At 38.5% G+C, this 16,677-nt stretch overlaps 1 protein-coding gene across 28 annotated transcripts in view; it reads right to left on the bottom strand.

Moving 5' to 3' along the window:
• The window catches only part of MCTP2 (multiple C2 and transmembrane domain containing 2), a 252,587-nt gene that overhangs the window by 68,999 nt on the left and 166,911 nt on the right, over positions 1-16,677 (bottom strand). For 22 of the 28 annotated variants that reach the window (NR_169532.1, NR_169530.1, NR_169529.1 and 19 more), the window contains 3 exons: positions 15,892-15,993; positions 14,959-15,033; positions 12,935-13,054 (listed from right to left, as the gene is read on the bottom strand). Coding sequence is in view for 21 of the 28 variants with exons in the window: in XM_047432839.1 (XP_047288795.1) it covers positions 12,935-13,054; positions 14,959-15,033; positions 15,892-15,993 (297 nt within the window). In the remaining 7 variants the exon portion in view is untranslated. Of the gene's footprint in view, positions 1-11,688; positions 12,643-12,934; positions 13,055-14,958; positions 15,034-15,891; positions 15,994-16,677 lie in introns of those variants that run through there. The other 6 variants (XM_047432842.1, XM_047432843.1, NM_001385008.1 and 3 more) reach the window with 4 other exon arrangements.

The following is a 16,677-nucleotide window of genomic DNA, read 5'->3' as shown; positions in this document are numbered from 1 at the left end:
CTCTGCAGCACTTCCTGTATCTTTAAGATGGAAGCTGGTGGTAGGTCCAGATCTCTGGAAAATATTCTTTCACATTTATCTTTAAGCTACGAAGTCTGTAATGTAAAAAAGTGTATTAGCAACATTAATACCCATAGGTCATTAGATGATCATGGGGCGTGAATGGAACCAACCCCCAAAACATGCCACACTTTTTGTTTGTAAAATGAACTTCATAAGAGAGTCATTGGGAAAAATACCATGAGTGATAAACAACACTGGAATATGCAAAAGAAAGCAAAGGGGGAAAATCAAATAAAATCCTTGCACTGCAAGCTTTTAAATCTTCATCTATCCTGCAGGTTACTCTGCAGGACACACTAGTCAGGCAATAACCTATTTCCTGATGAACACGTCCTGTTCCAACTGCTAATCTCACAGTGGAAGCTTGGCTTTTACCATTTATTATAAACATTTTCAAGAACTGCTTACCACGATGTATTTTTTAACGGATTAGATTTTGGTCAGCTGCTAACAGAGCAGAGAACTGAATATTTTTTATATGAAGGCTGCAAAATAGGTTTTCAGAGTGTCTGACTTGCATTCCACTCCTCTCCCTCATGAGTAATTGGAAGAACAATTGAAACAGAATATAAGAAGGCCAGAGGTTTCTTTTCTTTCTTTTTCTGCCTCTTCTATTATATCATAAAAAAAATTCTGGATCCAAGGGTACAGCATATAAGACATTACTGGTTTGAACTTTACCATAAGACTTAGGGAAATGTTCAGAAGAAAGGCAGAGACTGCAATTCACATAATTTGCTCAAGACCATCACAGTTATCTGTTGATGACACTCAACATCTAAAGCCTAAAGTGTTTAAACCAAAATAATTACATTTTCTTAGAATCAAGGCAGCTCCACCTTGAAAATGTACACTGCAAAGGTTTTCTAAATGAGACTACAAGAAAATAGGAAAGTTGAAAATTAGTTTTATCCTTTAGAGTTTGCATTTTCAGATTCAAACTTAAAAAACCATAAATGAATATATATAGTCACAAAAAGCAATTTAAAAACTCTTGAACCTTAACTAGCAGAAAAGAAAGATCTCCTGTCTTCCAAATGCTTTCACTTTGCTTTGACAATGCCTCATGCCCAAAATAACTAAAAGAATTGAAAAAATGTTATCATATTCACTATGTATTGTCTAATGTTAAAAATATACATATTTATGTTTTGTTTTTATCCCTAGATAAAATAGCTTTCAAGAAATTTGTGATCCTAGTCACATTAAAACTAACTTGAAACACCTAACTAAGGGAGGAAATGGCCTCTGGAAGCAACTAGATTTGATACTATGATATGAAGGAATGTCTCTGTGAACACACACACACACACACACACACTCAGCGTCATGCCTAAGCAAGCCATGTCACACCCAAGAGCAAAGGCCTTTATAGAAGTGAAACCTAGCCAATGACATAAGCATCAAATTTTAGCTGCAGGTTAAAGAACGTAAAAATGAAATTAAAAAAAAAAGAAGCCTTAAAATGGTTATTTTCCTAATGAAATCTGTACCAACTGGGCAGTAATCTGGATCTTATTTCTTCTGCATAAGGAAGAATGTGCTACAGAATATTCAAGAAAATTATTATAAAAACAGAAAAGTACACAACATGAAAATTTGAATTTTTTTTACTAATGTAATAATTTCTGCTTATAGACGATTGTATCAAATTAAAAATAAATTGCTGAAATTAAAATCCCCAAGAAGTAGCCCACAGAAATTTACCTTAGGATTTTATCATTTATGAGTTTCTATCGCCACCTGCAGGACTATCTTTAAGTAAACTCAAGCGATTGCCAAGCTATTTGTTATTTTTCTTTCCTTTTCCTTTTTTCTCTCCCTCCTCTTATTCCCCAACCCTGTTTTTGATTAAATTTCCAGGAAATCAATTTTTTGAAAACATGTAGATTATCAAAAATGTAAAAATCGCCAATGAAATGCAAAATCAAATTTGCCGAAAGAGGTGCAGTTAATGAGGCCACAGTCGGCTAATTTTTTTTCACAGCTAAACACACTATGCATTTTCCTATTGTGAAAAGTAGAATTTGGGGATGGGGGTAATGAATTAGCCTATAAAAGTTTCCTTGCAAAAAAAATTGAGGGTCTCGGTGATTTCCAAGGAAAACTGCTCTTGCTATGGGACACAAAATGTTTATAATTGCATGTACCTAGCTTAACCCAGAGCAGAAGAAATGTGGCTATTAACAAAGGCATACTTAGCTGAAGAAGCAATACTCTATTCCTTAAAGAGAAGACAATGTAAGACAAGGCTTCACTAACAGCATCGCTAAAGCCTAATAAAGAGCAAGGTTTTAGAGCAGAAGTCAAAACTTAAACACCTCCCAAACACAAAAACACCGTTCATCATCATCATCATCCTTGTCATCATTGTGATCATCGTTATCATCTTCATTACTCTCATCACCATGGACACAACATTTTGATGAGGAAAATTCACCTGTTCCAACGGAAGAGTCAGTCAAGTGAGCACGAGGTAGCAATACAGATTTACATCTCCCTACGGCATGTTACCACTCTGAATAGCAACTCCACAGACTCACAAACTATTTTTACTCAAATGTAAGACCTGAGGGAAAATGTACCTAAAAAAAAAAAAAGCAGAGTCCAAGGATCCTGTGTATATGCAGTTTGTACTCAAGAACTAAAACCGTAATTTCAAAGTTTATGACTATACAAGCCGTGCATTGTAAAAGTAGTGTAGGACTGAGAATCCTCTATTCAAACAAATGAGGAGGCCTTGGGAAAATCACTTTCTGAAGCCTGCAGCTTTCTTCTTCCCCTCAGACTGACCATGAAAGCCCCTCCTACCTCATTCTGTGGCTCCATCTTTCCTATATTAAAAACAACAGCTGTTGGGTCTTGCCTAACACCAATGGGGCCCACAAGTATATTTCTGTTTTGTTTTGGGTTTTTTCCTTGACAAAATGAAGCATCCCAGACAATGAATTAAAACAGAAATTTTAAAGAGCTTGGGAAGCAATAGAAAAGTCATTTTAAAAGGCCAAAACCAATATGGATTTAGGTAATAAGAGAATCCCAGGGAGACTAGAACAGTCAGTAAACACTGTGCAAGAGCAAGGCTTAGATGATTACATATTGAACCTGATTTTGATTAAATATCAAAATCTTTTTTTTTGTATACGTGAGATGGGGATGATCAGGCTTTATAATAAAAATCTCCCTCTAAAACACATCTGTTATTTAAAAAGCCAATGACACAACCCCTAGATAAAGGGAGCAGTAACAAAACACACCTTTCTAAATCATAAATCAAATGGCAAAAGTACAACACGCTGTAGTAAACCCTGACCAGACCACAAAGAAGGCTTCTCTCCATAAACATCAGATCAGGCAGCTAGAACGATTACTGGGCTCTCTAGTAACTGTCACCTGTGGTGGGTCTAATTACAGGCTACCCCAGCAAGCACGCCCACATCACACAGCAATAAAAGGGCCCTCCGCTTGCCAAGCACAGCCAGACAATGGCGAGCACATGCCACCTGATGGGGAGCCCCAAAAGATCAGCCAGAGAGACTAATAAAAATGACAGCTTAGAAACAAATGACAAAGCTCAGACTGCAAAAAAAGAAAAAAAAAAAAAAAGCAATATCAAATTAGCCAGATATCTAAGTGCTGAGCATGTTCTTCAACAGGTCAAAACCTACATAAGGAATTGGTTATAACTGTTTTCACACACACCAGGTCCCCCTATTTCTAAATATTCTTTTCTGTTTTTGCATCACACAAAATGTTTGCACATCCAGGTGTCACATACAGAAACAAATGAAAGGGGAGAAAAGGCATTCAGTTCTGAAAATATCAAAAATAGAATCTTCTCAGATTCAGGGGCTGTGATGGCAGTTAGAGATTTTCCAGCTCTCTTCCTCCTCCTGGCTGCCTTTTGGCCATTTTGCTACTAGTTAGCACAATTCCTGGATGGGCAGGATCAAGAAAAAGCCAGAAAAATGCATAACAGACAAGAATATGATGAAGCTGCCAGGTTGTTTTTGGATTTTAGCTACTGATGCGGCCACAGGCTATTATGATCAACGGAGGTGTACGAATAAAAAGAAAGCAACATCTGGTAACAGATGATTTTCACTAGTTCTAGCACCCTTCCAAGAAGCATTGATTAGATGCCTACTGTGTACCCAACATTATCCTAAGCAGTAAGGATATGCACAAAGATGAAAGACTGGGCCTTTGCCTTTCTGCAGCTTGCAATATACTAAAACAATCCTTCAATCATGAGGCTGTGTTACACTGCATAACTATATAACACATGACATTAACCGGAAGTATTAAGTCATTGAAATAAAATACCTCTTCTTTTTTTTTTTCTTTTTTTGAGACGGGGTCTCACTCTGTTGCCCAGGCTGGACTCAAACTCCGCCTCTGTCTCTGAAAGTGCTGGAACTATAGGCATAAGCCATCTATTTTTGACATGAACTGAATTTATTAGGTCAAGCATGAAGAGTATCATCATAGCCTTGAGGGAGAACTCTGCTTGGCATCTGGTGGTTAAATAGACATTAAGTAGCCCTGGAAATGATTGACTCCTGAACACCAACCACAGCACACAATACCAAGCTTTGCATTTCCACCCTGTCATTGAACAGGTTCTCAACAAGTCCAGGTCCACAAAAACAGTTTGCAATGAAATAGCACATGAGTGTGTGTGTGTGTTTTAGCGAGGCCTTTCTCTGAATTTGAAGAATACCATCACCCACCAATAGTTATATCAGATAGCAGTAATTCCTACCCATACTTGTAACCCATTCCATGTTTTTAAAATATTTCCATGCTTATGACCTAATTTAATTCCCAAAGAGCACATTTTTTCTTATGATATGCTTGTTTTCAAATATAAGGGAGGATGATAGAAGAAACTTGGGGGAATAAAGTAGGGAAACTAAGGAGGTGAGGAGGGCTTCTGGAGAGAGGCAGAGTAGAGGGGATAAATGGGGTGAGGAGGAAGGAGAGAGAGAGAGAGGGAGGGAGGGGGAAAGGGAGGGGGAAAGGAAGGGTGAGTGGAAAATAGGGGAGGAGGGTTGATAGACTTACGAGTGCTCAGTATGAAAATTCATTCCTGCATTTCAATATCTAGCAGTGTACTAGATACTCGAAACCATCACTGCTTGTGGGAAGGGGATGGAGAAGAGGGAAGAGAGAGGAGGAAAGAGGGAGGATCGGGAGAAGGAGCAAGCCTGAAGAAGGTGGTAGTCAAACATCAGCTGCATTAAGTTGCTACACGACCTCTGGAGTCTTTTCTTTAAGATTGAAGATCCTAAAATCTGGATCAAGCTCAGTAGGGTATCTCTGGAAAGCAGAGTGAATTAGACTGCACTACTTGGGATCTGTAAAAGACAAGGAATCCGTATTAGTCAGGGTTATCTAGAGAGATGGAACTAATGGAATAGGAATATATATATATTCATATTTGAGTATTATCATAGCCTTGAGGTAGAGCTCTGCTTGGCATCTGGTGGTTAATATATATGAGTTTATTAAGTATTATCTCACACAATCACAAGGTCCCACAATAGGCCATCTGCAGGCTGAGGAGCAAGGAGAGCCAGTCCGAGTTCCTCAACTGAAGAACTCGGAGTCCGATGTTCAAGGGCAGGAGGCAACCAGCATGGGAGAAAGATGTAGGCTGGGAGGCCAGGCCAGTCTCTGTTTTCACATTTTTCTGCCTGCTTATATTCTAGTTGCACTGGCAGCTGATTAGATGGTGCCCACCCAGATTAAGGGTGGGTCTGCCTTTCCCAGCCCACTGACTCAAATCTCCTTTGGCAACACTCTCACAGACACACCCAGGATCAATACTTTGTATCCTTCAATCCAATCAAGCTGACATTCAGTATTCACCATCACAGAATCCTGAAAAGAAAATTCAGAGAAGGCAGAAAATATGTGCTTGCAAGTGCACACCAACAGAAAGCTCAGAAAAGGCAGTGGTAGTGACACAGGGTCCCACGCAGAGCCTGGACCTACACACAAAAGGGGGAGCTAACCATTTACATCTACCAGGCTATGTGAATATGGCTGTGCTATGATTACAATAATTGAGATCTAATGTTTACTAGTCAAAATTGGAATGCTCCAAAAGAATAAGTGATTTCAGTCGATCTAGCTATGATTCTGTCTGGAATCACAACTCACAAAATTGAAAATATAAACATGAAAATATGCTAAAATAGTTAATAGTGTCCTTTTAAATTTTTAACAGATAATCTTTTTAATGCGATTACTGTAATTTTATTAAATTGCATAATTAGTTAATGCCTGAGAACCTGCCAATAGAAGGTGCAATTATGTTGTAAAAATTATGCTCACAATATGCAATGATGGATTGTTCCTATTTTAAAAAAGTGCTGAAAAAAACTTTAAAACATTTTGAAAGTATATTATGTAGTCCTTCATGAAAAGGAAGACTAGGGAAACTATCTTATATATGTTAAAACCATAAGATGCCAAATATTTTAAGCATTGAATATACCTATATATTTTGCATATATGTGTATATGGTTCTGTGTGTGCACTTATATATACACACTTTTAAGATGTCTAAAACCCCTCTTCTTCTGGTTATTGTAACTGAAATTTCTTTTTTCCAGCTTTACACAAATACTTTTAATTTTTGAGCATCAACTGCACACACACCTAGCAAATGGGCAGCGATGTCTGCTCTGCACATCCAGTTGTGACTTCTGGTGGATGTCATAGCCAATGAAAGAGCTTAATGAAATGCAGGTGCATTTCGTTGTGAGTAAACTGGTGACAGAACTTAAAGTAAATCTTTTAGACACAGTTAACACATAAATATCGAAAGCATCAAAAAGACATTTGACCAGCATTATTTAATGAGTCGAATCTCAAAACAGTGTTGCATTTGTCATTTGTACCAAAGCAAAATGAATCTGAATGTTTTTCGGTCCACAGAGAAATCATGGAAAACAGCAGTCCTCAAGGCCTTGCCTTTGGTTTTTACTAAACTGCTTTCACAAAACATTCAACAGAGCAACTTTTAATTTCCCAAATGTCCTCTGCTTCTTCGTGTTCATGCATGTGTGTGTGTGTGTGTGTGTGTGTGTGTGTGTGTGTGTGTGCACAAGTACATGTGTGTTGGAAGGGTTGGCTCTATTACTGCTACTGTTGTTTTTAAGTTCTATGTGAAATTACTTCACATTTTCTCAATATTCTAGGATCTCTAAAAGCTAAAAATTCTATATATGTTAAATATGGGATATTACCAAGCGAGTGGACAGTTGTATTTTTTAACTTTATTGAGGGAGAGGTTGATTGATGCTTTAATTTGTGTATCATATTTCAGTCCTTGTCAACTCTGAAAAGTAAATTCTTTATTTCCCTATACTCAAAAAATCGGAAAAAAGTCACAGATGTTAAAATCATAGCTTTATGAAGATACTCGTTGATATATGGTAGATTTAGATTACTTTTTAGATCAAACATCCAAGTAAAAATTTAATAAAGCAAAGAATCCATCAATGCCCCACAAACTTGCCTCCCTTGATACAATAGGTGTGTGCCTGAAATATCGGTGGAAAAATGAAACTGCATAAATGCAATTCTATGTTAAAAGCATCAGAACTTTGCTGTTTAAAATCACCTTCTGATGATGCCATCTGTCAAGTAAATAATATTTTAACATATGAAAAATGCATTTATATAATAATATAACTTTAGGACTTTTAATAGACAACATTGGGGTTTATAAAATATAAGTATGTCATAACAAAACACCCATACATGATTGGATCTACCAATATAAATATCACAATGCAAAGTTATCTTTTGAGAACAAATTTATCTTTATTATGATCAAATAATGTATTTGCACTGAGACACTGGGTATATAAAATAGAGATCCCCACTAGACATATGGGCCTATCTCTTTTATAGCTATTATTTCAAGATATTTTAAAGGAACATAAGGGGTGGTTATTCTCTTCTACCCCATCCCTTTTCTGAACAACTTGGAATACTTAAAAAAAAAAAAAAAAAACAACTGAAAAGTCCAATGCCTTCCATGATCCCTTCCACTAGTTGTTTTCTGTTTTTACTTTCTTCTCCCCTTGAAAATCCCTCTACATCATCTAAAAGCATTCCTCAAAGGTGGGGAAAAACAAGTCAGACTGTAATTTGGGACTCAGTCTAGAACCAAGGCTCTAGGGTTTTTCAAATTATCCAGCTGGATTCCAAGGATGCCAAATGCATGTGATGCCCAGGGGCTGGGCATTTCCATGTTTGGCTTCTTTAATTTTGGTCTCATCATCACTTGTGAATAAAATAACTGAGCTAAAGAATTATTCTCGCCCATGTAATGAGGGTTTCTTTCCTGTATAGCATCACAGCTTGGAACAGGCTTAATCCCCACACATAATATCTAAATACAGATCTGAAACAATCAGTATGGTTGGTCCCGGTGTCACTATGTAAATACAAGGACAACAAACATTGCATCCTGGGCATCAGTGAGAGGCAGAATAGCTGAAGGGTTAAGCCTGCACAGACTAAAGCAAGATGGCCTGGGTTTCAATTCCACCTCTACCTCATACACACACATGAGCTCTGTCACTGTACTTGACCTCTATAGGCTTATTTTTCTCATCTGTAAAAAGAAGATAGTAATCACCACCTACATCAGCAGGTTGTTGTGAGAACTAAATTTATAAAATCCTTGGGACAGTGTCTAAGCACTGAAATAACATGAACTATGAATAATAGTTCAAATAGTCAAAATCTGTGTGGGAATGGCCATGTACACGTCTTGTGTATGTATATAAATGTATATACATGTGTATAAAATACCACATATATTTACAAATCTATTCATAGGGAAATATACAGGTGCACTTACTTCAAGGCAAAATATTTCAGTTCTATTTGGCCTCATTCACTAAGTCAACATCTCATATTAATTTGTTTTTCAAATGGGAAAGTCAAGAATGTTACTTTCTGAAGGAAGAAAAAAGAAAAAATATATCCTTAATTTAATATAACTAAGTAAACCTTAGAAAAGGCAAGATACCAAAATATCTGAAAAACATAGGGGAAAGAGAAAGACCCAGAAGACAAAATGAGAAAGATTTTCAATGTTCATCCTAACAAGAAGAACTGAGTCTATAGAAACTTGACTTGGAATGGTCTGACCACCCTACAAATGCCCATGTTTAATTTCTTATGATAACAATAAATTCAACACTATGCAGCAACATTAACATAGCAGGTGCATTACTGATAACTTTCTTCTCTCATGTTGGGAATACAACCACTCCTGTAAGTGTAGCAGTGATAAATCGCATGGTAGAGGAAGGTGATGCTTGGGTCATCTAGCAAGGTGAGTTCTCTCACGTTTGTCCATCCACTTCTGACGAGACACCATGCGGACCTAGATCTTAAGAGCCTGCTTTTCTTTAACTGCTGCTTTCAACAAGATACGATTATGTTCATGCACATGTACATAGGCATCCATGGAAAACGTATGGTTTGCTTTCATAAAGTCTTAAAATTGACATTGAGAATAGATTAAACATGATTCTGCAATGTTCATGTTTGTATCACCTGGAGCTAGAGTCTAGAACATAAAGTTAATATTTTATGTTTTCTCAAAAAACAGAAGAAAAACACATCCCTTCAGTTCTGCCCTTAGTTTGTTGTGTTAGCATCACTTCCTGTACTGTCACAAGAAGAAAAGCCCCACCAGGGACTGGTTCAACTAAAATAGCTCCTTTCACACCTGTGTAGCAAACCCTCAACTATCACATTCGCTAATTTCAATTAGAGGACCTGACTACGGGTCATTTAATAAATCCTTGGCTTAAAACCTTGCTTCAGACAGCGCCTCTGTTCTGCCCTGTCATGCCAAGGCGAGCAGTTGGAACATGAACAAAGTGTCACAATGACGAATAAAGACACCAAGCAGCATTCTGTCAACAGATCACAGGAGAACATCCGTCAGTGTGTGTCACCCCTGACAGATATGGCAGTTGCATAGTGAAGAAAGGCAGAGGAGAGCCTGGGCTTGAGGATCCAACATTTTGCAGAAAGACAACCCATCATGAAGCCCCACAGACTCGGGGACACAGCACTACAGCCAGGGCAGCCCCCTAGGTGTGCAACCCGCCCCGCCAATCCAGTCCCCTACAGACAGCTAACAGGTCTACAGGCAAGGTACATAAATGAAGGCGTTTTCAAAGAAAAGGACATGAAAGCTTGGCTACCCATAATCTTACCAAAAGAAGAATGAAAGAAGATGAAACGGAGGCCAGGTGCGGTGGCTCAAGCCTGTAATCCTAGCACTTTGGGAGGCCGAGATGGGTGGATCACAAGGTCGAGGTTCAAGACCAGCCTGGCCAATATGACGAAACCCCGTCTCTACTAAAAATACAAAAATTAGCCGGGCATGGTGGTGCGTGCCTGTAGTCTCAGTTACTTGGGAGGCTGAGGGAGAAGAATCGCTTGAACCCGGGAGGCAGGGGTTGCAGTGAGCCAAGATCGTGCCTCTGCACTCCAGCCTGGGTGACAGAGTCAGACTCTGTCACAAAAAAAAAAAAAAACAATAAAAAATAAGAGATGAAACTGAAATACATTTATTATTCTGTCTCAAGAAAGCATTTTCTGTATAGCCTCTCATTTTAATAGCAGAAATGGTTTTGGAATAATCATAATAGGAATAAAAAAACAACTTTTAATAAAATTACACTTCATCAACTTAGGGAGGGGAATTATCCACCACGTTATGGCTGCGGTATTTCTGAGAATCACCAAGGCCAGTCAACATACACATGGTCTAAATTTTTGGAAGTAGAGTTTTAAATTAAAACTGAAAACGAGTTTAAGTGAGCACTTTTATTCCAGTACTTTCAGGACAACCAAATGATAGGCTGTAGGTATATAGCGTATCTAACTGGCTCTGCATTTTTTTCAATGGTGTCCAATGAGAAATGTCCCTATACACACAGTCGCATATACCCATGGATCCTTGCAAAATCATACTTTGGAAAACCAGCAAGGAGAACACCACCTTGATCTTCCTTGCTGTGGGCCTCAGAGATCTGAGAGTACAACATGGCAGCCTGCATTCTCCAGCGTGGGGGCGGGCTCTGCTCCGAGGCATGAAGCTCAGCAGTGAGGAATCCCTCAGAGAAAAGGCCGTGGAGAAGTGGCTCCATTTCTAAGCCTCCCTTCCTGTTTAGAAGTCCCCTCTATTAGACAACCTATTTCTATTCATCTGTTCTAATCTTTCTTCAGATCAAGCCAGCAGCCCATTAATCATTTCTGTCATCTCCCTACAGAATCCAGGGCAACAGATCTCTGTTTTTCTAAAATCACAGTGCCAGAAACTAAACTCGAGAAAGAGGAAATCCTCTCCTCCTCACAGTGGCTGTCTGGGTGCTGACTGGAAGAAGCCACCAATTGTGTTCACTTTCCTCTTTTGCCCAGAATTGCATAGAACATTCCATGGAAAGTTTTGAAAGGGAATTCGGGTGGGAAGTGGAGCTGGGGAGGTTGAAGGGGAACTCAACGCATGAAGCCACCAGCTGAGGAGAACGTGAGAAAGGGAAGTGGATAAACAAATGCTGAGACAATGACGGATACAGATTAATAAAACCTTTATTAGTGTTTTTATTAAGGCCAAATGTTTTAGCAACTTCAGACAGCAGAAAAAGTATAGGAAAGGTCAAGCCTACAGGCAGCATAGGTCCTCTACACCGAAGCAGTGGAGAACTAAAATAAACGACAGCAAACAAAATACCCCCCAATGGCAAAGGAAAAGCCTCTTTTGGAGCTGATATACTTGATGGCATAAAAATGTTGGGAGTGACCTTGAACCCATTGGCTTCTTGGGCTAATAAATGTTTTTTTTCCCCCATTTTTTATATGAGGCTATGCCTGTTGGCTAAGAGAGAACATTCAGCATATATTGGCAGTAGAAAACAGAAGCAGAACCACATAACATTCAGAAATCAGATTCACCAATGATCATGACTGATATTCACACTCTTAGACCACTCATACCTCGTATTAGTTTTTATAGTGATCTTTGCACAGGACAGAAATGAATGGCATGATACCAAATATACAAAGATTTGCAGTCGGGAGACTTGATTTCTCCTCCCATGGCTGACATTACCAATTTGATCAAGGACAAGTCCCTTTACAAATGAGAGAAAATGCCCTGAGATATAAAGTGAAGGCATGAGGCCAGCTGTGAAGTCCTTCCAAGATTCTTGGGCTCTCAGTGGTAGACTTAGGTGGTTTTAAGATCTCTTGCAGCGCTTTGATTCTGCGATTTTATTATGCTCATAAGGATGGGCCAATGTCACCAGAGAAAAGGGTACATTTCATAGACAGGGGTGGTTCCTCTTTGCGGTGCTGAATGAAATTGCAATGTGTAATGATCAGTATGTCCCAACTGGCTTGAAATGAATAAACATCTTTAATATCAAAGTTTGGGAATAATTTACTTAAAATGTAAATTGAACAATTCAGTTATTATTTAGTCCTGTGATTTTTCAGATGCCATTTTTCAGAAATTATGGGCGGTCACTGGCACAGAAAGAAAAAAAATACACACAATGCAGGGCTATACAAATGTAGCTGTAACAACAACTGGAGAAACATTTAAACATATATATACAACAGTAGTGCTCTTAAATTTACCAAGAGACCATATATGACTAAGATTTGGGTAATTTAAGGGGTTTCCCAGGTAAATTTGACCTAAGTACTGTCTTAGAAAGACAACCCCCACGTAATCACCTACGCTGTAATATATTTCAGAAAGATGAATAGATGCAAATAAGAAGCAAATAGTTTGAACATAAGAAAGGAAGCTTACCGCGAATGCTATTGTACTTCTTAATGTGGATTCCCACTGGAAGCAGCTTTTAAGGAACTGCATTGTATTCCATATTGCCATAGTGATTCTTTTCACACGGTCCACATCTCTTGATAAGATCTGATTTTAAAAAATGACAAACAGGAAACTAGATTTAAATACTACAAATATTCCATCTAGATCAGGTACCCTGATCATTTAAATTATATTTTGTATAGATCCCAATTTTAAAATATGATAATAATAGAAAGGAGAAGACCTGACACTTCTAAAAGTCTTTTTAAAATATGATCATCCATAGAGGAAATGAGAATCAAATGCATTTTAGCGCTCATCTGAAAAAGAATAGCCTGTTTCAACAATGTTCAGCACAAAAATGGAACTGGTGAAACTGCAGAAGCCAGGTATTTAATGTTGGTGAATTTGTGTGAGAAAGACACATGCAGAGGCAGAGAGAGAGAGAGAACTAGAAAGAGAAAGACAGAGAGAGAGAGATAAAGAGAGATACAGACACAGAATGAGTGTCTATGTTGTTTAGTTTGGAAGCAAATGAATAGATTTACAATTAAAACATGCAAGTATTATAGCTTATCTAGTCCAGAGGTCTACAGAGTTCTGGGAAGGGATTGGAGTTCACCTTGGGCAAGTTACTTAACTTCTCTTTTACAAAATAGGGTTGATATTAGTGCTAATCTTACAAGGTGTTGAGAGAATGAAAAAGCTTAGAAAAGTGCCTGTCACATAGTAAGTGCTTTCAAGCATTTATATCCTAAGGAAACGTTTCCAGTTTATCAAAATTTGGGGGGACTAAGTAGCAAGAGGCACGTGCGGAGGGTCCTAGCATACCCTAGGATTTCAGCCCCAAGTTCCCCAGTGCTCTGAGAGCCCAAAGCCACCCCACGTGGAGGTCTTGTTTTGCAAAGGAAATGTCTCTCTCCCAGTTGCAGGCAGATTCATTTCAATGTGCTTGCAAAGCAGCTACCCCACCCACCTCAACCCAGGTTTTAACTTTCAAGTAAACAGAGCAAAAGGCAATAATAACAATAATAAAATAAGACATTTACTCAGATTACACAAAATAAATATTACACTCAATGTTACGGCAGACCAAAATGAAATATTTGGAGGCTTCCCCTCAGAAGACGTTTAAGGCCTTTCCCAAGTATGCCCAGAAGTTCATGGGAAACAAAAGGATGATAAGACGTCTTTATATTTAACTGCTTTATGTAATCCACAGCTGCTCACCCCAAAGGAAGTGGTGGAAGTAATAAACTCTTGAAAAAGGGGACACTTTGTTCTTTGTTATACAATTGAAGAGGGACGATAGGTACAAAGTGAAATCCTGAGCTGCGGAGAGTACAACAGGGAGGGACTCTGAAAAAGGAATGTAAAGGTCACGGAAAAAAAAAAAAAAAAAAGTGAAACTTCCCCTACCAGACCCTGAACTTCACCTTTTGTTGAACTGAATGAGAAAGGAGTTAAGGGCAATAGGCAGAGGGAGAGAACTTGCATTCAGTATGGGGTGAAATGCCAACACATCCCAAATTTAGACCACGCCGAAGTGGTAGGAGCAGTCATGAGCGAAACCCAGGCTAGAAGTCTCTGAAGATCTGCTGGGTTAATTCTGTGATTGACTCCACACACTGCACCTCCCTGAAACTTCAAAGGGCAGAGGACAAAATGGCTGTGATTAAAGGACGGATAGGCAGGACAAGACACTGACAGTCTTGATGCTAGGAATTTTTGTTTATACAATGAATCAGGAGAATAATGGGGGCCTGAGACCTTCTGTTTCACCCAAGAATTATGTTTTAAGTCTTGCCCTTCTTATGGGAGCTGACTGACCTCCTTATTTTAGGAGAGAAGGGGACAAGGAGAAATAAGTGGAGAGATGGGGCAAGAGGGAGAGAGGAGGAGTAAGAGGGAGGAAAAGTTTCAAGGAAGAAATTACAGGCAAGTGTTAATACTTCAGCTGCTGGGTGCTGAGTGTACCAATCAACAAGCCACCTACTGTAGCGACCCACCTTTTTGGACAGCTTGCGGCTGTCTTCAACAAAGCGCTTTTCCCGGGGAGTAAAAGTCCTAATACTTGCTTTCACCTAGAAAAGACATCCTTGTTAAAAAAGGGCAGCATGTATAGGGACTTCATCCACCTAGTTTTCTTAATGACTGGGAAAATCGTGCAGACCAATAGCTTCTGACTCTGACCTTAGCAGGGAGCAAAGAAATGGTGGACACCCCTGTGCCCTGTACATGTTTCTGGAGGTCTCATTTGATAAGAGTCCCTGGCATGGGTCAGATTGAGTCTAGAAGGGTACTGTCTCCACTTTGCTCATTCCTTGGGGGTATTTTCAACCACTGCAGAGATTGAGGTTCATGAATTTTTCAAACTAACGTCCGTAAAAGATAAAACTTCCTTCTGAAATCCTTTTGAGTTAAGCTTCTACCAAAAATGTCTGCATGTGAATAACAATTTCCAGTTTATGAAAAGACACTTTTCACAGAGAATTTTATTTCCTTTCAATGACCCGGAAAAATAAGTCAATGAGCCATTTTAGCCCCATTTTACAGGGAATAAACTGAGGGTCAGAGGGACTTAGCACTTGTTCAAACCACCAGACTGAGTAAGACCCCAAAGAATCAGATTCAAGTCCTTCTCCACATCACACGAACTGTAAAATTCCTTAACCGAAATATTTTCTCTTCAAGCCTGTATTCCACTTTTCCATTAAACTCAGGTTTTACCAGTATACATACTCTATACACAAACGTTTTCCAGAAGAAAGCAGGAGATGAGGGTAACCTGCTTATAAAATGCACAGCTTTAAAACACTATTCTTTCCTCTCTGTAGCTGCAAAAATTCTGAAACATCTTACATTGATTTGAGCCTCCAAAGGCTGGTCACCTTCTATTTTAGGTACGGGAAAGCCGGGAAGTATGACCCAGCTAGACTTACCGGATTATATATAAGGTCCATCTCTAAGTAAATAACTCCTTTAAAAGCTTGTTCTAAATCTTTATTCTTTAGTACATAACAATTCGGTTGTCCATCTCTAATCTGTCACAAACAAAAGACAAAATACACATTGGTGCAAAATTACTATGTGGTTTAAAGTAAATAACCAAAACTAACTTTGGCAAAATTGGGGATGCACAATGATCACAGGTGAAGCAAACATTAAAGAAATATTAAATCCACCATAAATCGCCTTTTACTTTTAGAGTGCTGTTATAACAAGCTCTAGATAGGAAGATAAAGTGATGATCACTAGGCTGAAACTGGTGTGTGGATGAAAAATATTGGTGCAAATCATAAGTTACATATTTCCATTTACTCAAAAATGATGAATATTCTACAAAATTCCTGGCCAATACTCTTCAAGACTGTAAAGGTCACGGGAAAAAGGAAAGACTAGGAAACTGTCACAGATTAGAAGAGTCTAAGGAGATAAGATGATTAAATGCAATGTGGTATTCTGGATTGGGTCCTTGAACAGAAAAAAGATATTGGTGCAAAAACCGGTGAAATCCAAATAGGGATCAGAGTTTAATCACAAGGTAACAATGTTAGTTCTTTTCAGTTTTAACAAATGTATTATGGTAGTATATAACGTCAACATTAGAATAAACTGGATAAGGTATGTATGGGGAACCCTGTATTCTCTTTGAACTTCTCTGTAAATCTAAAAGTATTCCCCCCAAAATGTTATTTTTAACAGAAATGAATAAAGGAGCTGGTTTT

Source organism: Homo sapiens, chromosome 15, assembly GCF_000001405.40.
Source record: "Homo sapiens chromosome 15, GRCh38.p14 Primary Assembly".
NCBI lineage: Eukaryota > Metazoa > Chordata > Mammalia > Primates > Hominidae > Homo > Homo sapiens.
This window is presented reverse-complemented; position numbering and strand designations above follow the sequence as displayed.